The sequence below is a fragment of the Homo sapiens genome, chromosome 10 (assembly GCF_000001405.40).
Source record: "Homo sapiens chromosome 10, GRCh38.p14 Primary Assembly".
Classification (NCBI taxonomy): Eukaryota; Metazoa; Chordata; class Mammalia; order Primates; family Hominidae; genus Homo; species Homo sapiens.
Window position 1 is genome coordinate 99,827,380 of NC_000010.11, and position 26,012 is coordinate 99,853,391.

General features: G+C 48.1%; 1 protein-coding gene across 6 annotated transcripts in view, besides 4 other annotated features; it reads left to right on the forward strand.

Annotated features, from left to right (window-relative positions):
• The window catches only part of ABCC2 (ATP binding cassette subfamily C member 2), a 69,955-nt gene extending 44,740 nt beyond the window's left edge, over positions 1 to 25,215 (forward strand). For 2 of the 6 annotated variants that reach the window (NM_000392.5, XM_006717630.4), the window contains 13 exons: positions 2,928 to 3,054; positions 3,337 to 3,472; positions 4,232 to 4,451; positions 4,598 to 4,752; positions 7,001 to 7,156; positions 8,712 to 8,911; positions 14,588 to 14,714; positions 16,420 to 16,521; positions 16,943 to 17,086; positions 18,245 to 18,403; positions 19,582 to 19,748; positions 23,223 to 23,417; positions 24,123 to 25,215. In NM_000392.5, coding sequence (NP_000383.2) covers positions 2,928 to 3,054; positions 3,337 to 3,472; positions 4,232 to 4,451; positions 4,598 to 4,752; positions 7,001 to 7,156; positions 8,712 to 8,911; positions 14,588 to 14,714; positions 16,420 to 16,521; positions 16,943 to 17,086; positions 18,245 to 18,403; positions 19,582 to 19,748; positions 23,223 to 23,417; positions 24,123 to 24,252 — 2,018 coding nt within the window. In that variant the 3' untranslated portion in view covers positions 24,253 to 25,215. Of the gene's footprint in view, positions 1 to 2,927; positions 3,055 to 3,336; positions 3,473 to 4,231; positions 4,452 to 4,597; positions 4,753 to 7,000; positions 7,157 to 8,711; positions 8,912 to 14,587; positions 14,715 to 16,419; positions 16,522 to 16,942; positions 17,087 to 18,244; positions 18,404 to 19,581; positions 19,749 to 23,222; positions 23,418 to 24,122 lie in introns of those variants that run through there. The other 4 variants (XR_945604.4, XM_047424598.1, XM_011539291.4 and 1 more) reach the window with 4 other exon arrangements.
• Positions 2,612 to 3,811: an enhancer, noted in NCBI's record as "BRD4-independent group 4 enhancer chr10:101589748-101590947 (GRCh37/hg19 assembly coordinates)". NCBI's record gives its function as "activates an origin of replication core promoter dependent on BRD2, P300/CBP, MED14 and CDK7 cofactors, and independent of BRD4, by STARR-seq in HCT116 cells {active_cell/tissue: HCT116}" and the evidence as "EXISTENCE:reporter gene assay evidence [ECO:0000049][PMID:35650434]".
• Positions 6,588 to 7,787: an enhancer, noted in NCBI's record as "CDK7 strongly-dependent group 2 enhancer chr10:101593724-101594923 (GRCh37/hg19 assembly coordinates)". NCBI's record gives its function as "activates an origin of replication core promoter dependent on BRD2, BRD4, P300/CBP, MED14 and CDK7 cofactors, with strong dependence on CDK7, by STARR-seq in HCT116 cells {active_cell/tissue: HCT116}" and the evidence as "EXISTENCE:reporter gene assay evidence [ECO:0000049][PMID:35650434]".
• Positions 22,487 to 23,167: an enhancer, noted in NCBI's record as "OCT4-NANOG-H3K27ac-H3K4me1 hESC enhancer chr10:101609623-101610303 (GRCh37/hg19 assembly coordinates)". NCBI's record gives its function as "activates a minimal SCP1, AML or CMV promoter by ChIP-STARR-seq in naive H9 embryonic stem cells {active_cell/tissue: H9 hESC(naive)}" and the evidence as "EXISTENCE:reporter gene assay evidence [ECO:0000049][PMID:30033119]".
• Positions 22,713 to 23,007: a silencer, noted in NCBI's record as "tiled region #8166; HepG2 Repressive non-DNase unmatched - State 14:Gen5'". NCBI's record gives its function as "represses a minimal TATA promoter and a strong SV40 promoter by Sharpr-MPRA in HepG2 cells {active_cell/tissue: HepG2}" and the evidence as "EXISTENCE:reporter gene assay evidence [ECO:0000049][PMID:27701403]".

Consider the following 26,012-nt stretch of genomic DNA (forward strand, 5'->3'; position numbering starts at 1 on the left):
TTTGCGTTGACTGAGCCATTACCGGCTCTGCTACATATTCGCAATGTAAACTTTCCATTTCTTTCTGGGATTTTTTCCTTGTCTTTTCATTACAATCTACTATACAGCTTCTAGGGGCGTCAGGAACTGAAACGCTATCTTCTTCTGTTTGAAATGGTTCTAAAGCTGCTTTAATAATGGCCCAATCATTCCATACTATAAGTGGAATGATATTACCCTTCCTACCTGCTTGTTTTAGTTCCTTACCAATTCTTTTCCAGTCTTTTAGATCTAAAGTTCCTTGTTCTGGAAACCATGGGCAAAATTGTTCTATTATTTGAAATAGCTTGATTAGATTTTTTTGTAGATACTTTAACTCCCCCTCTTTTTAAAAGAATTTTAATAAAGCTGAGATAAGAGGCATATTTACTTTTAATTTTACTTTTAGTTTGCCCCATTATTACCCTAGCTTCTTCCGAGCTCACAAGCTTACCGTACGGCTGACTGTATATGTACTCGGGATCTCTCGTCGACTTGTGCTCAATGACCACGCTCGAGCGTACCTTCACCCTAGAGAAAAGCCTCCACGTTGGGCACCAGATGAAGGGGTGGGTTGCCCCTCCACACCTGCCTGGAATGGAGGGTGAAGTTCCCAAGGAAAGAACAGTGTCTAATGCTAGAGTTCTCTGAGTTATTGCTCAGTCAACCACATCACCATGGTTACCGTAAGAAAATTGGGCAGTTTTCCCATACTAATGGTAAACATTTTTTTCTGATTAGCCTGGATCTGAGTTTCTGGATTCTGTTATAAACCACTTCTCCTTTGAAGAATCCTGTCTTTAATGTACAAAGAACAGTTTGCAAAACATCCCCGTAAGCCCTTTTTCTGGTGAACACTGAGAGAACATTTCTGAGCAGTTTTGTAAGCTCCAGAGCCTAGGATGCTGCTGTGTTGGCCCTGGGATCTGGGACTTGGTGGAATGAAGAGAAGGGCAGGAGGGCAAGGTGAGCTGCACTGAGATTGGTTCTGTGTATGAGTTTCCTAATTAGCTGCCTTAACAACACATCACAAACTGAATGGCCACACATTTCTGGAGGCTAGAAGGGCAAAATCAAGGTGTCAGCAGGATTAGTTCTTTCTTAAGGTGTTAGGCAATAATCTGTTCAAGGCCTCTCGCCTAGTTTCCGGTGGTTTGGTGATCTTTGTTGTTGCTGTTTGTTGTGGTTGTTCTTCCTATATGTTTGTTTCATTTCCTGAACTAATTCTGTTAAGTCTGTATTCTTTGTCATTGTCATGTGTGACCACTGAAGTCTGTTTGGTTGGCTTAGTGGTCAGCTAGTGATTAGACAGATACTCCCTTAATTGCTTTGAAACAATAAGTGTCTCAGCCTTTGCTGAGAGGTTCTGTGTGTGTGTTGTGGGTGGTGGGGAGCATGTCTTCAGCACTCCAGCAATTTACATCTCTGCCTTAGCCTTCACTTCCTGCTTATACAGAGCCACATAGTCAGCCGGAAGTGAAAGATTAGAGCCCTCTTCCATCTTTCCTGGACATGTGCACAGCTCTGCATGTGTAGGTGGCATTCTAGATTGCTGGGAATATATCAGAGAGATCAGAGACCCTGTGAGCATCTTATTCCCCAGCTTTTCCTTTTAAGTTTTTGGTCAGCTTCTTATTTGCCCCAAGTGTTATCACCACCTCAGGCAGCTGCTGTGATGTTAAATAATTGCTGCTGGTTTTTTGAGCTAGCTCAGTGTTAGGTCAAATAGGCCCTATAAATGGGGGTTTTCAGAGAATTCCAGATAGGTGAGATAATGTCAGTTCTCCAGGGATGGGGTTTTTGGGAGCATTCTGAACCCACTCTGCCCCCTCCAGTGGCTGCTAGGCTGCTGGTTTTCATGGCTGCTATGATTGTATGGCTGTTAGTTTTCTAGGTTATAGCAGCCAAGGAGAGGGGGGACAGAAATAGGGTAAGTTAAACTGCCACAAAACTTACTGTTCTTACTAAGTTTCAGCTCTTCAAAAACACAAATGCTCCTGGGATTGTTGCAAGCCTTTGGTTAATTTCAGAGCTCTGAAAAAGTTGACTTTGACCATTTTTAATCATTATTCTAATTGCTTTTATGGAGGAGTAGATATCTGGAGGTTCCTATTCTACCATCCCCACTGATGCCCACACTGTGTCTTATATTTTATTTTATTTTATTTTCCGGGTATGTCTTTTAAGTGATTTAAATTAATATAAGTTTGTTAAATTATTTGAATTTCAAGATGAGCATTTTCTTTTCTGTTTTGAGAGAGTCTCACTCTGTTGCCCAGGCTGGAGTACATTGGCACAATCATGGCTCACCTTCAACCTCCTGTGTTCAAGTGATCCTCTCACCTCAGCCTCCCAAGTAGCTGGGACCACAGGCATGCACCATCACACCCTGCTAATTTTTAAATTTTTGTAGACATAGAGTTTGCCTATGTTGCCCAAGGTGGTCTCAAACTCCTGGGCTGAAGTGATCCTCCCACCTTGGCCTCCCAAAGGGCTGGGATTACAGGTGTGAGCCACCACGCCTGGCCAAGATGAGCATTTTCAATTTACAATCACTTCTTTAGTCAATTCTGAGAATGTGACTCTTCTATTTGTCTACCATAATCCTTAAAAGCTCTTTCCTCCTCCAAAGGAACCTGGGCATTTCTAGGAATTTTCTTCTCCATTTTGACCATTTTCTCTTCCAGTGGAATATTAATTCATCTCTCCTTTATCCTGATATTTCTTAATAACAAGATGTACTAATAACTATGTATGGAGTATTTATGGAGTAAAGTATTCCATGCTGTATGTACATCTGGGATCCCTTGCTGAAACCAGCAAGATCAGAGGAGGCTTCTCTCTCCTTGTTCATAGGACTGACAGGGATCTATGCAGCTCTTTCCCTAACCTCTACTGTGTCTCCCTAGTCCATGATGGCAGTGAAGAAGAAGACGATGACTATGGGCTGATATCCAGTGTGGAAGAGATCCCCGAAGATGCAGCCTCCATAACCATGAGAAGAGAGAACAGCTTTCGTCGAACACTTAGCCGCAGGTTGGCTATCTATTCAGCTGGCAGCCCTCGTCAGCTCTATATTTCCACTTGATCTTTTTCTTTTTCTTCCTGGGCTTTTCCTGTGAGGGTTAACACCATGGACACTCCAAGCTCTTCCTTTGTTTCTTTGTTGTGGGGATGGGGAAAGATCGGGGTTGTGTCAGTTTCCCCTGGTCATCTGCCCTGAAATGCGCTTTGATGCCAGCTGAGTGACTGTGACATCTGCTTGCAAGAAGACCCTTGGGAATTGCCTGCATGCTCAGGGAAGCTTCCCTCTCTCAGTTCTAGGTCCAATGGCAGGCATCTGAAGTCCCTGAGAAACTCCTTGAAAACTCGGAATGTGAATAGCCTGAAGGAAGACGAAGAACTAGTGAAAGGACAAAAACTAATTAAGAAGGAATTCATAGAAACTGGAAAGGTGAACACCACACAGAAAAGTAGCATTTGAGGTGTTATAAGGTTTAGAACCCAAAATTTTTAACGTTCAGTGAAAATTGAACGCATACTTACAGGAGCAATATGTCCTCTGTCCTTTGCAAATCTTCAGACTCATTATTAACCTGTTAGCAGAGGCTGTGGGCTTTCTACCAAGTCATATTTCCATAAAGAATGCTATGTTTCCTGTGAATGTCCTCATCCTACACTTCATGAGTGTTTGATTCCATTCTGATGTGTGGAGGAACAGGAAAACTCAGACCTAGAGCACATAATTCAAATTAATGAAATTTAACCACAAATTTCAAGGTCGGCAGTAGAACCCCATCATCTGTTCCACTCTGATTTTTTGTTTGTGTGTTTATTTTAGATACAGGGTCTCACTATGTTGCCCAGGCTGGACTAAAACCTCAGGGCTCAAGAGATCCTCCCACACCAGCCTTCTGAGTAGCTGGGACTACAGGGGCATGCTATCATGTCTGGCTTGTCCCAATCTGTTTTTATATCTTCTCCTCTTAAATGCCTTTAGCTTTGATGATTATTTACCCTGCATTGTATTTCAGCATTGTTCTATTATCCTTCCTGGCACAGTGCAGAAATGGTGACCACAGACTACCAAATTTTGCTACCTGCTACCCATGCTCCCAGGGGACTCCACTTCTCCTTGTGGTTGGCATTCTAGGTGATTCCTTATCAAAAGCCATTAGGGAGTTCTACTAATATTGAGGTGGGGACTTTGCAGGTGAAGTTCTCCATCTACCTGGAGTACCTACAAGCAATAGGATTGTTTTCGATATTCTTCATCATCCTTGCGTTTGTGATGAATTCTGTGGCTTTTATTGGATCCAACCTCTGGCTCAGTGCTTGGACCAGTGACTCTAAAATCTTCAATAGCACCGACTATCCAGCATCTCAGAGGGACATGAGAGTTGGAGTCTACGGAGCTCTGGGATTAGCCCAAGGTATGTCTGATGGCTATGACATCTTACAGAATCTGTCTGGACCCTGTACTTTTCCTGGACTCAGGAATGCATTTGCCATTATGTCCTGGGCACAAGTCTTCAGGGATTCCTGTGCATGGTGCTGACAAAACTGCTTCCATCTCTAGGTATATTTGTGTTCATAGCACATTTCTGGAGTGCCTTTGGTTTCGTCCATGCATCAAATATCTTGCACAAGCAACTGCTGAACAATATCCTTCGAGCACCTATGAGATTTTTTGACACAACACCCACAGGCCGGATTGTGAACAGGTTTGCCGGCGTAAGTATCTCAAGAACTGTCAGGTGGTGTGTTTATATACTGAGGATCTTTCTGATAGGGAGGAATTATTATGTCCCCCTAGACAACACTGTTCAGTTCCAGTTCTTTTGTCACTCAACATGCAAGTGTTTCTTGAGTACCTGCTGTGAGCTCCCAAGAATCCTGGAGATTGAGGGATGAACATCTCTGACCCTTCAAGTAGCTCAGCATCTAGTGAAGAAGACAACCAAAGAAGTGAAGGATTATAATAGAATATAGTAAAACCAGTAACAGCAGTGTGTAGAAAGGTGGTCTGGGAGTACAAAGGAAAAAAAGGCACTAGCCCAGCCTGCGTGATAAAGGTGGGAAATGTCAGAAAAGGTGAAACTTAAGTCATAGAAGCAAGCCAGGGAGATGGCAAGGGTTGGGGGATGGCAGTAGAGCAGGGTGAGAAGGATTATTCTGCAGAGGAAGGAACATAAATAAAAGCACTGTCACAGCCTGGGACAGGAAATACAAGAGATAGTAGGATAACCCTTTGCTTGGCCTCTGCCTCCATTCCTGAAACTTCTATCTTGAATGCTTTAAGAATGAGTAAATTTGGTCTGGACTATGGAATAGAGCCATCAGTGATTTTAAAAAGTTCTCAAATATTGTTTCCATCTACCACAGATCCTGGACCCCTTGGCATTCACTCATTCATTCATTCAACAACCGTTATTGAGCACTTTCTATGAGCCAACTACTGTACTAGACACTGGGGCACTCAATGAATGTGAAGATCATAGATGTCTCTCTTCCATGGGCCAGACCCAACTCACTGATTTTTTAGTGTATCTGAGATGGGAATTCAGGAACAGAGGCAGAGATCAGGCAATTCTGAATGATAAGTAACTATCACCAGCACAGTTTTTAGCCCTGTGCTTATGGAGCAGCTCTGGACTCTTGTTTGTTGGTCTTGGGGCAGACATAGAAAGTATAGCTCACAGTCCACAGCCAGGTTCTGGGGACACAGTAACTGCTTCAAAAGTGGGCCATTAACTGGTCCCCCTGTGTCATCTTCCTCTGGGGCAGAAACAGTGGGCATGATGTCACTAGAGACAACTTCAATGGCCTTTCTGCTCTTTACTAGAACCTAAAAGAACACTCAATTTTGGGTGAGAAATTTCTCATAGTAATTTTGTAAAGATCACAGTTTTCCCCATGTTGTAATATATATAATCTTCTGGGAAAGAGAACACAGAGGTTTTCTGTGAGTTACTTAGGCAACAGTCATAGTTTGAAGACTGCTTTTGCATGAGAAAGGAAACTGTCATTAATTATATAGTATGTTTCGTTGGGGAGGTGGCTCAGACCTATTAAGGGGAGTTTGATCAAGGGGCCTCTGGGATCAATGGCTGAGTTAAGAGGAGATGGAGTGGAGGAAGGAAAGATGGAGACTCTGTGCCAGGTAAGGATCAAAAGTAATCTGCATAGAACTGATAACTGGTAGGGATTTCTTTTCTCTGCCAACTGTGGGTATAGTTATTTGCATTCTGATAGGACTTTGGGAAAGGTAGGTTAGACTCAGGAGTCATCCATGATTCAGAGCTTTCCTGGAAGACCATTATCCCTGATACAGTTTGAGAAATTCCAGAGATAACTTAAACTCACTTTGGTACTCACATATTACCAATCATAGAATCAATATAATCCCCACAAATTTAGGCAAGGGCAACCCAAAATATAAACCAAGCTTCTTGAGTGTTCTCCAAACCATCCATCCATTCATTCATTTTTCTTATTTGTTCATTTATTTCACATGACACGAAGGCAACATGGCAGTAAGACACATCTGTTCCCGCTGGGTTCCTTGGTTAGAACACTGTCCAGGCAGGCTCACATTCAACCCCAGCTCCCTTCCCCTTGGTCCTCTATGCTTAGCAGAGGAAGCAACTTCCTGAGTATTTTTAGTAGAGATGGGATTTCACCATGTTGGTCAGGCTGGTCTTGAACTCCCGATCTCAGGTGATCCACCCGCCTCGGCCTTGCAAAGTGCTGGGATTACAGGTGTGACCACCACGCCAGGCCTAAATGAAGAAATTATGGAAATGAAATTGGTTATTGGGGCAAGCAATGCAGCCTATTGCAAATGAACACAATGAAATGATTACATGAAGGAGTACTGGGAACACACAGAATCCAACAGATTCCTTGCTAGAACTAGGAAGATGTAAACTATCTTAGGAAGACCTCAGTGATGGTGTATCTCTCCTAATCGTTTTCCTAGGATATTTCCACAGTGGATGACACCCTGCCTCAGTCCTTGCGCAGCTGGATTACATGCTTCCTGGGGATAATCAGCACCCTTGTCATGATCTGCATGGCCACTCCTGTCTTCACCATCATCGTCATTCCTCTTGGCATTATTTATGTATCTGTTCAGGTAGGTTTGGAAATGGCTAAGTCATCCTTCCTTCCTCTCTATCTATAAAAGCCCAGCCTCTTTCCTGAGAATCTTCTCTCTGATTCATTGCTAGTCACTCACTCCTCCCCTCAGCAGCTTTGCCATTTAGTCATATGTTGACATACCCAGGAGCCCACAGGCCACTGTCTGAAGCTGAAGTGAGAGCATCAATGGGTGCACCATTTATGGCAAATGTCACCCTAACTGCTGCCCACCCTTCACTCCCTGGAAGCTTAGGTCGGACAGATTTACGTTTGGATCCAAGACTACTTTGAGATTGGCTCTGGACACAGTCTTGCAGCTCCATAAGAACCCCCATGACGATTAGGTCGGTTCCAGAAGAGCCATGCTATGGTGCTTCCTTGGTTGACTTTGGACAGGCATAGCTGCTTGGAGATGTCTCTCAGCAGCAGCTGGGTCTTTCTTTTTACTTCGGCAAAGTTCTAGTTTCACTGGGGTGTCTGTGGGTGGTTTAGGCTCAATTCCAGTGTATTCTTCGAGGGAATGTGCAGCTTGAAAGCAAAACAGGGAAACTGGAACGAGTGGAAGGAACCCTATTCCCACAATAAAATGGATGAGGGAAGGGGAGGCTGTGGAGGAACTCTGGTCCCACCAGCTGCTTTTGTGGTGAATTGTTTGCCTGGGGAAACAATTCTGAAGACACTGATCAGGGGCTCGTGGCCTTGTGGCCTGCGATTGGCGGCTCGCCCCCATGTCCGTGTACAGTTCCTCAGGCACATTGTCACCATAGCGGCCTTTTAACTATTAATAACAAGCCAACAAACAAGAAGCAGGGTTATTGGAGGGAACATCTGTATGTCCATGTATAACATTTTGCATCCCGTCTCTCCAACGCCCCACTCTTCCCAGGTTTCAACAAATCCTCACAGAATCTAGTAGCAGCACGGACCCATTCCACTCCCCCTTGCCCTCAGGCCACAGGGTTCTTCCCTGCATTGGATTCTACCCTGTTCCAGTTCTTACCCCCTCAGCACTCTGCATACCTCCAGAATTCTCTGTACCTTCACACACCACCGAGGCACAGTTTTGGTCACTTAATTGAACAGATTCTTCCCTTTTTACCCAAACCTAGGCATGCCTTTTTCTGGCCATTTCCTGCCCATCCCCACTTTACACACCCCACGGGCCCCACTGCCTTTACAAAATCCTTTTGGGGACCTTTTCTCTAATGAGTACAGAAACTGTCACATGGATGATAGCCGTAGATCTGGGGGATATGGGTTAGGCTGACGGAACTCCTTAGGAGGTTTGGAGACTCAAAGCTCTGAGGCTGCAGTGTGCTCTCCTCACGTTCACCCCACTCTGTTCCCCACCAACCCCAGTCTTCTCATTGGTCTCCTCCTCGGAGCCTCTCATCATTCTGCTCCCAGACATGGCACTGCAGGCTTTTGTCTTGTTCAGACGTAAGCTGTGCCCATCAAGGGGAAGAATGCTGGGTTGTGGCCAGAAAGGAGGAAGATGGTGGATGCCTCATGACTGCGGGACTGGCTGATTCTTTACTTTTTGTGTCCAGATGTTTTATGTGTCTACCTCCCGCCAGCTGAGGCGTCTGGACTCTGTCACCAGGTCCCCAATCTACTCTCACTTCAGCGAGACCGTATCAGGTTTGCCAGTTATCCGTGCCTTTGAGCACCAGCAGCGATTTCTGAAACACAATGAGGTGAGGATTGACACCAACCAGAAATGTGTCTTTTCCTGGATCACCTCCAACAGGTGAGGCTTCCCCTGGGTATTTACCCATGTGTGTACTTTGGGGTTCTATATGTTTGATATTAGCGGTGGGAGGGCAGGCATGGCTAGTGGTGTGAAATTCACTCTGGCCACACACACTGTCATGCTATGTAAGTGGAGAGAAGAAAGCATGAGCTTTGGAGTCAGAGACTGGGTCCCCATGACAGCTCTGCCGTTTACCAAGCTGGGTGAATTGCCTTGACTTCTCTAAGGAGAATCTCCATTTCTTTGTTTTTGTAATGGCCAGAACACACCCTATCTCACAGGGTTCCACCTGTCTCATGGTGGAAGTCAAATGACATTTGTGAGCATTTTGTAACCCAGTACCAAATAAGTGCTGGGTGAACTGAACATCCTCTGTTTACTTTTCTGAGAACGGATGTGAGATTCTCCATAGTCATGACACTCTTTCTGGGTAGTGAAGGCAGTGGAGGTTGGAGAGAGGAGAGTTGGGAATTTTTAGGTAAGACCATTGATGACAGAAAGGGAAGCTTCCGTCTTGTGAACAGGGTGAGCATTATTCTCCAGTATCCTTAAGCCCTGGCAAGCAGTATGTCCTGGAAAGAGGAAGATCTTTTTCAGGAAGAAAAATTCTTGAGTGGCTTCCAAAGTGTCTTGAGGCGCTAAAGATGCTCAGCATTATTTGGAATGTGGACAGGTCAGGAGTTTGATTGTAAAGATATTTTATTTCTTAGAGACTTTCTAAGAAGGAAAAGGCATATAAGTAAATCTTATTAGACCTTCACTGTAAAGGACATATCATATTTATTCATACACATGCTGGAATTATTGGTGCAGACATTTAAATACATTTTCTTTGAGAAAGTCCTTTTTTTTTTTTTTTTTGATGGAGTTTCCCTCTTGTTGCCCAGGCTGGAGTGCAATGGTGCAATCTCAGCTCACAACAACCTCTGCCTCCTGGGTTCAAGCAATTCTCCTGCCTCAGCCTCCCAAGTAGCTGGGATTACAGGCATGCACCACCACGCCCAGCTAATTTTTTTTATTTTTAGTAGAGACGGGGTTTCTCCGTGTTGGTCAGGCTGGTCTTGAACTCCTGATCTCAGGTGATCTGCCCACCTTGGCCTGCCACAGTGCTGGGATTACAGTCGTGAGCCACCACAGCTGGCCTGGGAAAGTCCATTCTTTTTTTTCTTTTTTTTTTTTTTTTTAAATTTATTTTTTTATTGATAATTCTTGGGTGTTTCTCACAGAGGGGGATTTGGCAGGGTCATGGGACAATAGTGGAGGGAAGGTCAGCAGATAAACAAGTGAACAAAGGTCTCTGGTTTTCCTAGGCAGAGGACCCCGCGGCCTTCCGCAGTGTTTGTGTCCCTGATTACTTGAGATTAGGGATTGGTGATGACTCTTAACGAGCATGCTGCCTTCAAGCATCTGTTTAACAAAGCACATCTTGCACTGCCCTTAATCCATTTAACCCTGAGTGGACACAGCACATGTTTCAGAGAGCACAGGGTTGGGGGTAAGGTCACAGATCAACAGGATCCCAAGGCAGAGGAATTTTTCTTAGTGCAGAACAAAATGAAAAGTCTCCCATGTCTACTTCTTTCTACACAGACACGGCAACCATCCGATTTCTCAATCTTTTCCCCACCTTTCCCGCCTTTCTATTCCACAATGCCGCCATTGTCATCCTGGCCCGTTCTCAATGAGCTGTTGGGCACACCTCCCAGACGGGGTGGTGGCCGGGCAGAGGGGCTCCTCACTTCCCAGTAGGGGCGGCCGGGCAGAGGCGCCCCTCACCTCCCGGACGGGGCGGCTGGCCGGGCAGGGGGGCTGACCCCCCCCACCTCCCTCCCGGACGGGGCGGCTGGCCGGGCGGGGGGCTGACCCCCCAACCTCCCTCCCGGACGGGGCGGCTGGCCGGGCGGGGGGCTGACCCCCCCACCTCCCTCCCGGACGGGGCGGCTGGCCGGGCAGAGGGGCTCCTCACTTCCCAGTAGGGGCGGCCAGGCAGAGGCGCCCCTCACCTCCCGGACGGGGCGGCTGGCCGGGCAGGGGGGCCGACCCCCCCCACCTCCCTCCCGGACGGGGCGGCTGGCCGGGCGGGGGGCCGACCCCCCCACCTCCCTCCCGGACGGGGCGGCTGGCCGGGCGGGGGGCCGACCCCCCCACCTCCCTCCCGGACGGGGCGGCTGGCCGGGCAGAGGGGCTCCTCACTTCCCAGTAGGGGCGGCCGGGCAGAGGCGCCCCTCACCTCCCAGACGGGGCGGCTGGCCGGGCGGAGGGCTGAGCCCCCCATCTCCCTCCCGGACGGGGTGGCTGGCCGGGCTGAGGGGCTCCTCACTTCCCAGTAGGGGCGGCCGGGCAGAGGCGCCCCTCACCTCCCGGACGGGGCGGCTGGCCGGGCGGGGGGCTGACCCCCCCACCTCCCTCCCGGATGGCACGGCTGGCCGGGCGGGGGGGCTGACCCCCCACCTCCCTCCCGGACAGGGCGGCTGGCTGGGCGGGGGGGCTGACCCCCCCCACCTCCCTCCCGGACGGGGCGGCTGGCCGGGCGGGGGGCTGACCCCCCCACCTCCCTCCCGGACGGGGCGGCTGGCCGGGCAGAGGGGCTCCTCACTTCCCAGTAGGGGCGGCCGGGCAGAGGCGCCCCTCACCTCCCGGACGGGGCGGCTGGCCGGGCGGGGGGCCGACCCCCTCACCTCCCTCCCGGACGGGGCGGCTGGCCGGGCAGAGGGGCTCCTCACTTCCCAGTAGGGGCGGCCGGGCAGAGGCGCCCCTCACCTCCCGGACGGGGCGGCTGGCCGGGCAGGGGGGCAGACCCCCCCCCCACCTCCCTCCCGGACGGGGCGGCTGGCCGGGCGGGGGGCCGACCCCCCCACCTCCCTCCCGGACGGGGCGGCTGGCCGGGCGGGGGGCCAACCCCCCCACCTCCCTCCCGGACGGGCCGGCTGGCCGGGCGGGGGGCCGACCCCCCCACCTCCCTCCCGGACGGGGCGGCTGGCCGGGCAGAGGGGCTCCTCACTTCCCAGTAGGGGCGGCCGGGCAGAGGCGCCCCTCACCTCCCGGACAGGGCGGCTGGCTGGGCGGGGGGGCTGACCCCCCCCCACCTCCCTCCCGGACGGGGCGGCTGGCCGGGCGGGGGGCTGACCCCCCCACCTCCCTCCCGGACGGGGTGGCTGGCCGGGCGGGGGGGCTGACCCCCCACCTCCCTCCCGGATGGGGCGGCTGGCCGGGCGGGGGGCTGACCCCCCACCTCCCTCCCGGATGGGGCGGCTGGCCGGGCGGGGGGCTGACCCCCCCCCACCTCCCTCCCGGACGGGGTGGCTGCCGGGCGGAGACGCTCCTCACTTCCCAGATGGGGTGGCTGCCGGGCGGAGAGGCTCCTTACTTCTCAGACGGGGCAGCTGCCGGGCGGAGGGGCTCCTCACTTCTCAGACGGGGTGGTTGCCAGGCAGAGGGTCTCCTCACTTCTCAGACGGGGCGGCCGGGCAGAGACGCTCCTCACCTCCCAGACGGGGTCTCGGCCGGGCAGAGGCGCTCCTCACATCCCAGATGGGGCGGAGGGGCAGAGGCGCTCCCCACATCTCAGACGATGGGCGGCCGGGCAGAGACGCTCCTCACTTCCTAGATGTGATGGCGGCTGGGAAGAGGCGCTCCTCACTTCCTAGATGGGATGGCGGCCGGGCGGAGACGCTCCTCACTTTCCAGACTGGGCAGCCAGGCAGAGGGGCTCCTCACATCCCAGACGATGGGCGGCCAGGCAGAGACACTCCTCACTTCCCAGACGGGGTGGCAGCCGGGCAGAGGCTGCAATCTCGGCACTTTGGGAGGCCAAGGCAGGCGGCTGCTCCTTGCCCTCGGGCCCCGCGGGGCCCGTCCGCTCCTCCAGCCGCTGCCTCCCGGGCGGCGCTCGCCGGCGCGGCGGCAAAGACTGAGACAGCTCCGCTGCCCGCTGAACTCCATCCTCCCGGCGGTCGGGCGGCGGCGGCTGCGGTCGGTCGCGGCAGCGGCTCCGCTTCATATCTGCAGCTGGGGCCCGCGGGCGTCAGCGCCGCGACTGTCCTGGCTCCGCACTGCCCCGGGCCGCAGCGCAGCCGCGCCAACCACCAGCCGCGGCCACCATGGCCGGACGGGCTCCCTAAGCCACCGACCCCAGCCCGCGGCGCCTTCGACCCTTCTGGGGCCTCCGGCGCCGCGACCTCCTCTGCCTGAAATTTCTTTTTTCTTTTCCTTTTATTTTATTTTATTTTTTGAGACGGAGTCTTGCTCTGTTGTCTGGGTGGAGTGCAGTGGTGCAATCTCGGCTCACTGCAACCTCTGCCTCCCAGGTTGAAGCGATTTTCCTGCCTCAGCCTCAGCCTCCTGAGTAGCTGGGACTACAGGTGTGCACCACCACGCCCAGCTATTTTTGTTTGTTTGTTTTTAGTAGAGAAGGGGTTTCACCATGTTGGCCAGGATCATCTCAATCTCTTGACCTCATGATCCGCCCGCCTCAGCCTCCCAAAGCGCTGGGATTATAGGTGTGAGCCACTGCGCCCAGCCACCTGTGAGCTTTCTTTTCCTCCTCCATCTCTGGTCCTGACCCCTCATCCTCTTAAGCAACCCTCTCCTAGTTCCAGAAGCTTTCCTGCCAGTGAGGATGGAGATAGGAAATCAGAAAACCTAGGGGCTCCAGGCATCCTGAGGTGTGAACCAGAGCCCTCCAGACCCCCTAGGCCTGTCACAGTAAAAGTCCATTCTTATAAACTGTGTCTATACACATGTATTCTTCAGTTCTCTATGAAACCCCAGTATATCTCCCTGTGGCCAACTTGCACCTAACTTCCTTTCACCCTCAGCTTCTTCTTCCCCTTTTACAAATACTGAAATCAAACAGGGCACGTTGACCCTTCCTATGGTGCTTACTTTTTAATCTTACACATGGATTCACTATGGCATTGCTTCCCCAGCCTGATCAAAAGAAGTCATTTGGAGCGTTCATTTAAAATGCAGATTTTTGGCCAGGAGCAATGGCTCATGCCTGTAATTCCAGCACTTTGGGAGACTGAGGCAAGCAGAACACGTGAGCCCAGGAGTTCAAGACCAGCTTGGGCAACATGATGAAATCCTGGCTCTACAAAAAATACAAAAAAATTAGCTGGGTGTAGTGGTGTGCACCTATAGTTCCAGCTACTTGGGAGGTTGAGGTAGGAGGATGGCTTGAGCCCGGGAGGTCGAGGCTGCAGTGAGCCATGATCACGCCACTGCACTCTAGCCTTGGTGACAGAGCAAGACCTTGTCTCATAAAACAAAAACAAAAAAAAATGCAGATTCTTGAATCCCATCCTAGGCCCCCTGAAATCAGAATCTTAAAGGAAAGGGTCCAGGAATTTTCCACATGAATTTGTAACATTGTATATTAACAGTTGCCCTAGGTGATTCTTATGATTTGGCGAGTTTGGTAGACATTGCACTGTAGGATTCCCTTAGTTCAGCAAAGACCTCTAGGATCTTTAAAATGCAATTTATTTTCTTAAAAAATATATCAATAGGCTTTTAGGAATACATGGTGTTTCTAAGTCAAATTGAGGCATTGCCTAAGAGTGCGGCCCGATCAAGTCAAACCCTCTGAGAATGTTCTGTGAACGCCAAGGTTGCTGGTTAAGATGAGGACGTGATCAGTGACACGCACTCTCTGGTTCTGTTGCCCCACAGGTGGCTTGCAATTCGCCTGGAGCTGGTTGGGAACCTGACTGTCTTCTTTTCAGCCTTGATGATGGTTATTTATAGAGATACCCTAAGTGGGGACACTGTTGGCTTTGTTCTGTCCAATGCACTCAATGTGAGTTTGAAGGTTGGGAGTTTGGTTTCGTTAGTGTGCTTATTCTTAAATTAAGCCTGATGTATACTGTGGAGTCTGTGCTCTTGATTCCTTCTTAAACCCAGAGGGACTAAAGAAGACTGAGGTTCAAACCCTGGCTCCATCTTTTACCCATGGACGTATTCCTTACTCTTCCTAAGTAGACATGAATGCCATCTAGAAAACTGGACATAAATATTGACCTTAGGGCTTAAGAAGGCAATTTCATATGTTTCAATCTAATTGTTCCCTGTCTGCCTCTTTGCTTGGTTCTAGTGAGAGAATAAATAACTTTCTTCTCTAGAACGTAGCAGTAATCAGAAAGGCTTTTTGAACAAATAATTCCTCCTGTGTTTATTTTTCTTAGATCGTAGAATAATTGGAGGTAATTCTAATAAAGAACATAGAGTCTGATAAAACTATAGAATGTGTCTCACTGCAGCATCCCCAGCATGACTAGAGGATACATGGCAGGCATGATTCTTTTCTAGCACCTAAGACAGTGGCTGGCACTACCGTAATTATTCAATCAATATTTGTTATAAATGAGTCATTTGACCATCTTTTTGAACTAATTTTTTTAGTTCAAAGAGATTTGCATAGTTACATGTGGGCATTATATAATAGTGCTGTCTTCATTAGAAGTTAATAAGGCCTGTGGAGCACAGTGGCTGACACCTGTAATCCCAGCACTTTGGGAGGCCAAAGTGGGTGGATCACCTGAGGTCAGGAGTTTGAGACCAGCCTGGCCAACATGGTGAAACCCCATCTCTACTAAAAATACAAAAAAAATTAGCCAGGCATGGTGATGAGTGTCTGTAATCCCAGCTACTGGGGAGGCTGAGGCAGGAGAATCACTTGAACCCAGGAGGCAGAGGTTGTAGTGAGCCAAGATCGTGCCATTGCACTCCAGCCTGGGCAACAGAGCAAGATTCCATCTCAAAAAAAAAAAAAAAGAAGTTAATAAGGCCCAATGTGTTCCTGCCAGGGCACCTAAAAGGACTTTGTTATTCACTAGAGTCACTTAGTTCCTTGTGTCACTGCCCTTTCATACCCCCATTTCTAGGCTTTTTAGCCCAGGACAGACAAGGCAAATAGTCAGGAAACTATTAGATTGAACCAAAACAAAATGACTCAAACACCGGCAATTACATATGCTTCAATCTACACAAAGTGGATACTCTGAGTCCCCATGATTCCGTCCTCTGCTTTCTGTGGCTCCCTTTCTTTAACCACCATTTGCTCAACAAGAACTCTCTGTGCATATATGCAAACTCCTGAGTCTTTTTCTGAAAGAAGTTTGCATCTGAGTAATCTACAGATTCCCTGGCCTGGATCATGCCTTTCCCTGATTCACAAAGAACACTAGGCATCCAGGCAGGAGGCCTGAGCTCTGCTCCCACTCCACCCATTGCCAGACTCTCAAATTCCAGCTTTAGTCCCAAACCACTAGACACTCACATTGCCCTTCGCGTGAGCACCTAATTAGTCTGCAGCCATTCAATGCACTGCTCTTAATTCCTTCCCCAAGGAGGCAAGGATTGTCTTTCTTACACTTTTCCTTACTCCCTTGTAGAGTCCAGCACAGTGCTGGGTACAAAGTCGGCACTGGATTGTCCTTGTGGTTTGAGTGGTTGAGTTGGTTTCTGTGCCTATGATGATTTTCAGTCTTCTGGTTTTTCTGTAGATCACACAAACCCTGAACTGGCTGGTGAGGATGACATCAGAAATAGAGACCAACATTGTGGCTGTTGAGCGAATAACTGAGTACACAAAAGTGGAAAATGAGGTAAGGAGGAACTGGAAAAATCCAGGAACAAGGCAAAAACAACATGCAACTCCTTCGAGAGTGCATCTTTAGAATTTCTCCATATTTTACATGGGCCCATAATGGGTCCCTAAAGTTTCCTTTCCTCTAACTCAAAGGACCTAATTTCTTCAAACTTAGAATAGGAAATGGTTTAGGGGATGTCGGGTCTTGCAACATACCGAGGAGATCTACAGCACAAGCTCATGGTGTATTTTTCTTTAACTGAATAAGGTAGGAACTTTCCAAAAGTGCAAGTCTAGTTCAGCCTATTAAATGCAGAGGCCATTAGGTAGCTGGGACACTGCTACCCTTCTCCTGTTCTATGACACGAGTCCTGGGTGGACTGTTCGGCTGAGTTGCCACCTTATAAAACTTACTTCTCATCTTGTCTCCTTGCCAGGCACCCTGGGTGACTGATAAGAGGCCTCCGCCAGATTGGCCCAGCAAAGGCAAGATCCAGTTTAACAACTACCAAGTGCGGTACCGACCTGAGCTGGATCTGGTCCTCAGAGGGATCACTTGTGACATCGGTAGCATGGAGAAGGTAGGTGGAGTGAAGGAAGGCCTGGATGGGAGGCCTTGTGATCAAACAACAATTGGACAGAGTGGAGAGCAGCTGGGCCCTAAGCCTTCATCATTTGGATGGAGGGAAAGGGTCAGGGCACTTCCTCTGCCCTGGGGAGGTGTGGGGACACAGTATCAGAGGGAAGGATAGCAGCCAGGGATCACACAGACTTACCGCAGCTGTCGGGGCCTTCTGCTCAGCTCCTCCCTGCCTCCTAGCCAGCTGACCAGGGCCCCTTTCCTATAAGGTCCACAGTATGCAGAGAGGAAGTCAGGAAGGAAACAAGGGGGCGGCCAGGCCTGGTGAAGGAACTGTTGAGAATAGCAGTGTGGAGGTTGTCCCTGAAGGAAGAATGGCCCAGTTCTCCTCCCAGTCTTCAAAGTCAGGCACCCTCCTTAGGTGCTGTTGTTCTCCGAGGACTTGGGGTCTGATGAGCAAGGACGCTGAGGTCCAGATCAGAGTCTGGCTCTCAGCTGGTGGCAGACCTAATCTTTCCCTTCTTCACTTCTAAACAAGCATTTTTCTTTTTTCTTTATTTTTATTTATTTATTTATTTATTTTCAGATGGAGTCTCACTCTATCACCCAGGCTGGAGTGCAGTGGCACAATCTTGGCTCACTGCAACCTCTGCTTCCTGGGTTCAAGTGATTTTTCTGACTCAGACTCCCAAGTAGCTGGGACTACAGGTGCACGCCACCATGTCTGGCTAATTTTTTTTGTATTTTTAGTAGAGACGGGGTTTTGCCATATTGACCAGGCTGGTCTTGAACTCCTGAACTCAGGTGATCTGCCTGCCTTGGCCTCCCGAAGTGCTGGGATTATAGGCATGAGCCACCACGCCTGGCCTAAACAAGGATTTTGTTTTTATCTATAATTTCCAATAATAATTATAACAACAGCTGCCAAGAGAGTCCATTTCAAACAGTGACTATAGTTCTCAGCAAACAATGATTTTTGGCATCTTTTTCTGACATCTGGGTACTTTTTTCCTCACCAAAACCAAAATCAGTTTAATATCTTAGAGATGGAGTAGCCAGTCACTGCCTCTTACCTCCTGTGACTGTGAATGCCCAGGCTAAATAACTTTTCCCCAAGAATTATTTGTGGAACTAATGTGTAAGGGAACTATATTCGCAGATTGGTGTGGTGGGCAGGACAGGAGCTGGAAAGTCATCCCTCACAAACTGCCTCTTCAGAATCTTAGAGGCTGCCGGTGGTCAGATTATCATTGATGGAGTAGATATTGCTTCCATTGGGCTCCACGACCTCCGAGAGAAGCTGACCATCATCCCCCAGGTGAGCTCTAGAACTTACTCGGGCACATGCCGTGGGGAGCAGCTTGTTTTACAGGAAACATATGCAGCTTCTTCTTGATGTCTGTTCAGTCAGCACTGTCAATTCCACGGTCTACTCGGGATACTTGAGCTAGTTCCCTAGGATGGACACGTCATTTCCAGAACTTTGAAATGTTTGGTAATATGCATTTGTGGCTGCCTGTATCTGACCACTAGGTGGCAGCAACACAACAGAAGTCAAGTACAGCAGACGATTCTTTAGCGTTGCTATAGCCCATCACGGTTTGCAAGACTTTTGCAATCAGCATTAGCAGTTTTGCCGCTGAAGCTTGAAGCCATTAAGCTTTATACTCCCCATTTGCTATGGTTAAAAGATAGAGGAGGGAATTTGCTGCAGGTTTCTGCCAGCAAGCGGAACGCTTCGTGCATCAGCAAGAAAGATTTCCCTTCGGCTTCCTCTCTGGATCCTGCCAGATAAGGACTGCCGCGAGGCCTCTCCGTTCCCCGCAGCGGCTCCTCAGGAGAACCTTTCCTCCTCCGCCCACTGCAGCCCAGTTCCTCTGGGGGTAGTTTTGGTCTGTCTGGTGTTTGCTCAGTTCGATAGTCTTTTCTCCAGCCTCTTCAAAAGCGTGACACCTTCTTCTCATGCAGCTGTACTATTCTTTCCTCTACCCTCCTCTGATCCCTCTACCTTGAAATCACGATTATGGGTTTGGGAGGCCGAGGCAGGTGAATCACTGGAGCCCAGGAGTTCAAGATCAGCCTAGGCAACATGGCAAGAACCCATCTCTACAAAAAATTTAAAAAATCAGCCAGGCATCGTGGTGCGTGCCTCTGGTCCCAGCTACTCGGGAGGCTGAGGTGGAAGCATCACTTGAGCTAAGGATGTCAAGGCTGCAGTGAGCGGTGTTTGTGCCACTGCACTCCAGTCTGGGCAACAGAGTGAAAGCCTCAAAAACAAAAAATAAACCGAGGACTTCTAACCCTGTGCCTAGCCCCTGGCTGGTAGCCACTCCGAGCCTTAGGAGGGAAAACCTTGCGGAAGCTCAACCACAAACCAGCTTCCTGCCTCAGGAATCCATCTCAGGCCAGTCCTATCCACCATCTCCCAGTCCTGAGGAACTCCGAGGTCCTTTTCTGGCATGAGCCCCAACAGCCCCCTTGTCCTTTCACTTGCAGGACCCCATCCTGTTCTCTGGAAGCCTGAGGATGAATCTCGACCCTTTCAACAACTACTCAGATGAGGAGATTTGGAAGGCCTTGGAGCTGGCTCACCTCAAGTCTTTTGTGGCCAGCCTGCAACTTGGGTTATCCCACGAAGTGACAGAGGCTGGTGGCAACCTGAGGTAATGTTCCATAGCCTGCTACCCCTGCAGGCAATGAGAGGATGTGAGGGGGCCACTCCTCGTGTTCCTCGTGTTAGGTGATGCCTGGCATAGAATTTTCATCCAGGTCTGATTCCTAAAGTGTAAAATGAACCTGTTGTAAAGTTCACAAGATAAAATAGATGTGAAAGTGCTTTAAAACTCTTGAAAACTGGTCGAGCACAGTGGCTCACGCCTGTGATCCCAGCACTCTGGGAGGCTGAGGCAGGTAGATCACCTGAGGTCAGGAGTTCGTGACCAGCCTGGTCAACATGGTGAAACCCTGTCTCTACTAAAAATACAAAAAGTAGCCTAGCATGGTTGTGGGCACCTGTAGTCCCAAGCTACTCAGGAGGCTGAGGCAGGAGAATCGCTTAAACCCAGGAGGTGGAGGTTGCAGTGAGCCGAGATTGCACCACTGCACTCCAGCCTGGGCAACAGAGCAAGACTCCGTCTAAAAAAAAAAAATCAACTCTTGAAAACCTTTGTTATTGGCCGGGTGCAGTGGCTCACGCCTGTAATCCCAGCACTTTGGGAGGCTGAGGCCGGTGGATCACGAGGTCAGGAGTTCAAGACCAGCCTGGCCAAGATGGTGAAACCCCGTCTCACTAAAAATACAAAAAATTAACTGGGTGTGGTGGCAGGCGCCTGTAATCTCAGCTACTCAGGAGGCTGAGGCAGAGAATTGCTTGAACCCGGGAGGCGGAGGTTGTAGTGAGCTGAGATCACACCACTGCACTCCAGCCTGGGAGACAGAGCAAGACTCCATCTCAAAACAAACAAACAAACAAACAAAAAACCTTTGTTATTAAGTGTACTCCTCATATGACATTACACAATGTGAGCTTACACATCCCACAGAAAGCAGAGGCTCCCAGCTGTGCACAATCAGGATGAAAATAGTCTGGCTGCCTGGTCCAATCCTAGAGTCTGATTTAATTGTTTGAGGCTAGACTGGACATAGGGAGTTTTAAAGGATCCCCACGAGGCTGTTAAGGGCATCGCAGTTAAAGAACCACTGATCTAAAGAGCATGCGGATGACAGGGAACGTGACATCTGTAAAATCCGTAGGCACTGTTGAAACACCTGAAATCAACAAAAGACTCTCTTGGCTTTCACAGTTATTTTTAACCTTTCCAAAACATTTTTATATAATTGACAGTTCACTTCTGGCCTTCAGTGTATGTTTGCCTGTCCATTAATAAGTTGATCTGGCATTTTTCCTGTAACATTTTTGTTTTTCCTTCCACACACTGAAGTTCTGCCCTCAGCCAAAGCCCACTGCTCATGGACAGGTCTTGCTCCTGCCCCAGGGGCCTCAGTGGTGGTAGGCAGGGAATAGGCCGTTGGCAAGTTGAAGCTCAGGAAGGAAGGGAGGGCTCAGTAACTGATTCAGGGGCCAGCCACTCTGGCTTCACCTGGGAGCTTGTTACATGTGCAGAATCTCAGGGCGTAGACCTACTCATCAGAATCCGCACTTTAGCAAGATTCCCAGGTGATTTGTGTGCACATTACACTTGAGAAGCACTGCCTAGAGTGTTGTGATTAACTAGGCTGCAAGCTAAAATCACCCAGGAAGCTTTAAAGCTCCCAACGCCTAAACTGTAGCCCAGACCAACTGAATCGGGGACCCAGGTGATTTTAGTGTGTAGCCCCAGGGAACAAGCCCTGGTAGAGAACATCGTCAGTTTACTTTCCCTCCACAACAGATCTAGCAACTAGCAGGACTCAAGTAGGTCTTTAGGCCAGTGTAAAAGATCATTCAAACATTCAGTCAGCAAAAATGTAATAACACCGGCCGGGCGCAGTGGCTCATGCCTGTAATCCCAGCACTTTGGGAGGCCGAGGCAGCCGGATCACCTGAGGTCGGGAGCTCGAGACCAGCCTGACCAACGTGGAGACACCCCATCTCTACTAAACATACAAAATTAGTGGGGCATGGTGGCACAGGCCTGTAATCCCAGCAGTAATCCCTCAGGAGGCTGAGGCAGGAGAATCGCTTGAACCCGGGTGGCGGAGGTTGTGGTGAGCTGAGATTGCGCCATTGCACTCCAGCCTGGGAGACAAGAGCGAAACTCCGTCTCGAAAATATATGTACACCTACTGTGTGCCAGGTACTGAAAATACAGAGGCAAACAGAGACACAACCCTGACTTCCTAGCATTTACAGCATAATGAAGACAGACCTCTGTCAGTAAATGCCAGTACAGTCTGTGCTACAGAGGGTACATTTGGGATGCTATGGTAGGGTACAATGGGAGGCCTTGACATTTCTGGTTTGTAAAAACAAAAATCATGCCATCTTTCTCCTGTCCAAGCTGAGAGATGCTTAAATGGTATTACCAATGCCTTGATTTCAGACCTGAGTTTCAAACCTGGCCTGGGGGACTAAAACTTACATTTCTCTGTTGAATGATGGGTAAGTTCAGCTTGGAGAGAGCAGCTGAAAGACAAAGTGGCGCCTCAGCAACAGTCTGTTACTCTAAAGTCCAAAGTCTACGTTACACTTTGGGCCAGGCAGGAGTTTGGTACAAGCTAAGTAAATAGTTTTTCAGTGTCTCTGATCTTACATTACAGGGGAAAACTGGAAGTTCATCTTGGGTGACTTCTCATCTCCTGCAGAAATTTTCTTACAGAGAATTACAGCACTTTGGCCACCCCCTGTTTAATATGTTCCCTAATGGCCACAGCAGGAAAGAGCAATTAGCAAATTCCTGAATATTTCCTTCACATCATTTCCCAAAGCTTCTTTATGTTAGGTAAGAGGTCCAGCCTTCATTACAGGCTTTTAGCAAATTAAAGCTATTTGCATTTTAGAAGCATATTTGAATTCCACATACATTGCATCTCACACCAAGACATCACGTTCATTAGACAGCTTCATCTCTAATCAAAGCAGAAGGCCTTGAACAAATAATTAGCCTTGAGGCTAGAATTACACATTAAAATAATAAATTGATTTGCTAAGGCCACAAAGAAATGCCACTGGGGCATTCTAGTGTTGCTCCACCCTATATTAATGGCTTCAGGTCAAATGCTGCTAACGTAAACTTGGTGACACTCATGTTGTTTTGGAAATGTTGATGTCACGGCAACCAAATACAAAGCATGGTTCCTGGGCCATTGTTATCCAAACTTGTTTAAGCATAAAAATGGCCTGGGGTGCTTAGTAAAAAGGCACCTTCCTAGGCTCCTGCCCGCTCTGATTGAGCAAAGCAAGGGCCCAGAAATATGACTTTTTAATTAAGTACTTGGGGTGGGTCTTCAATTGGGAAAGTTTGAAAAACGATGCTCACAGCAGCAAGGTACAGCTAGTTGAAGAGGCCCAAACATTCCAGGGGAATTTTGGAGGGGGGGTTTTGAAAGTCTGATCTGGAACATGAAAATGGTCCCCCTGCCCTGCGTCTTTCCTTGGTCTTTAGGAGCTAACACATGGTTGCTTCTATTGGCTGCAGCATAGGCCAGAGGCAGCTGCTGTGCCTGGGCAGGGCTCTGCTTCGGAAATCCAAGATCCTGGTCCTGGATGAGGCCACTGCTGCGGTGGATCTAGAGACAGACAACCTCATTCAGACGACCATCCAAAACGAGTTCGCCCACTGCACAGTGATCACCATCGCCCACAGGCTGCACACCATCATGGACAGTGACAAGTGAGTGTAGGGGGACAGGGCTTGACACGGATGGCTTAACCCTTGCTCAACAGTAACAGTGTCAGCCGGGAAACACCTGATGGCAGAAGGTTTAACCACCACCACATTACTGATGAAGAAACTGAGACTTAGAGATGTCAAGTAATCTGGCCAAAATTTTACATCACGCAAATGAAAACGAACAAGGTTAAGGGAACTATTCATATCTTGAGGGCAAAATAGGAAACTGTGTGTTGTAACAATTAACTGGGTATGGGGAGGTGGAAGCTCAAGCCGTGAGAGGCAGATGTTGACCATAGACCTTCCTAACTGTCCTGAGCCTCAGCTGCTGCTCTGTAAAACAGCCAGAAGCTTTCTATTCCTTCCAGCTGTGTCATATTACAATCAAAAGTCAGTAATCTTAGAAAGCTGTTTGGAGATGATAGGCACCCTTTGTAAACCAATCTATCCTTAAACAATGTGCACTTCTTTTAAAAACTCATGTAAATGGACTCATACTGCCTGTATTCTTCTATTACTTGATTCTTTTGTTCAATATTATTTGCAGAATTCATCCATGTTGATGTGTGTAGCTGTGGCTCATTGATTTTCACTGCTTTGTAGCCTTGTCTGACTATACCACAACTTAGTCCTGGTTATTCTTATAAATGCCTAGACTTGAGATGCTGCTTTCTAAGACTTTTATTTCTTTCTTCCTTGTTTCAGGGTAATGGTCCTAGACAACGGGAAGATTATAGAGTGCGGCAGCCCTGAAGAACTGCTACAAATCCCTGGACCCTTTTACTTTATGGCTAAGGAAGCTGGCATTGAGAATGTGAACAGCACAAAATTCTAGCAGAAGGCCCCATGGGTTAGAAAAGGACTATAAGAATAATTTCTTATTTAATTTTATTTTTTATAAAATACAGAATACATACAAAAGTGTGTATAAAATGTACGTTTTAAAAAAGGATAAGTGAACACCCATGAACCTACTACCCAGGTTAAGAAAATAAATGTCACCAGGTACTTGAGAAACCCCTCGATTGTCTACCTCGATCGTACTTCCTTGCTACCCACCCCTCCCAGGGACAACCACTGTCCTGAATTTCACGATAATTATTCCTTTGCCTTTCATTTCTGTTTTATCACCTTTGTATGTATCTTTAAACAACATATACCCTTTTTTACTTATGTAAATGGACTGACTCATACTGCATACATCTTCTATGACTTGATTCTTTTGTTCAATATTATATCTGAGATTCATCCATGGTGATGCAAATAGGTGCATTATTTTTTTTCACTGCTCTGTAGTCTGGCATTGTATGAATACAGCACAATGTATCAGTTTTAATATTGGGGATCATTAGCATTATTCTCAGGTTTTTAAAAATTATAAGCAGTACTACTATGGACATTCTGGTCTACATCTCCTGGCACATATGTAAGAGTTTCTCTAGGGTATAACCTAGGAATGGAGGGTATGAACATGTTTACATGCACAAACTAGCTGATGCCAAACTGGTAATGCCAACTGAAAACATTGCTGTCAATCTGATGAATATGAATTGATGTATCAATGAGAATTTCATTTGCATTTCCCTAGTATCTATTGGGGATGAATATATTTTCATGTTTCTGGGGCATTTGCATTTCCACTTGTTTTTTAAATATTGTGTCTGATAATTCCAATGTCTGGATTCTTTGTTTATCTGTTGTTTCTGTTGGTTTTTACTCATGGTATTTTATTTCCTTGTATGTCTTGTGAATTTTTATTATAAGCTCGTTCTCCTTAAAACTTTATCTGTGGACATTCTTTGAGGCCTAAGTTGACCGTGAATTCTTCCTAAGGGAATTGGGAATGCTTTAGCCTGCTGCCTGGGGCATTACCCAGAACCTCTTTGAATGAAATTCTTCACTAAGGGGTTTCAAACCACAGTGCAACTTCAGACCACAATCCTGTACAAGAGCCAGCTTGTGATTTACAAATTCTCCAGGGAAAGTGACAGGTTGGAGATAGGCATGGGGTTTTGTTGTTGTTCTTGTTGACTCCTGCATTCTGCATGGCAGGACCTAGGCCTCTTTACCTGTACATTGCAGGTATAACCCTTTCATGACACAGGTTCATCAGAGGGTTTTAGTCTGCACTGTGGCAGACCTTGGCTTTATCTCTTGCCTTGACCTCCTACATTATCAACAAAGTGAGAGTTTAAGATCTCCTGGGCAGGAGATTTCAGAAGCCAGCCTAAGTTTTGGGCCTTCCTCACCTCCTAGGGCCTTTGTGTCAGGTTCTTTTGGGTTCTTCATATTCCTTACCTCCCTTTCAGTGATGTTATGATAAAGATTTTGATTTATTCAGCATTTCACGGTCTGTTTAGTGAGGTGCTTAACATTGAACTTCTGAAATGAAGGGCATATAGCTAGTGTAAGCATACCTCTGGTTTGCCCTGAATAGTTATGGGTTACATCTGTTTTCCCAAAACAATAATAGCTCCCCCTTTCACACACGCACAAAAATTGTCTCATTTGTATGATAAACTTGTGTGCCTCCTACACATAGCCCTGTGAATTCGATTTTGAATCACAGCATGGATGGAGATCAACAAAGTTGTA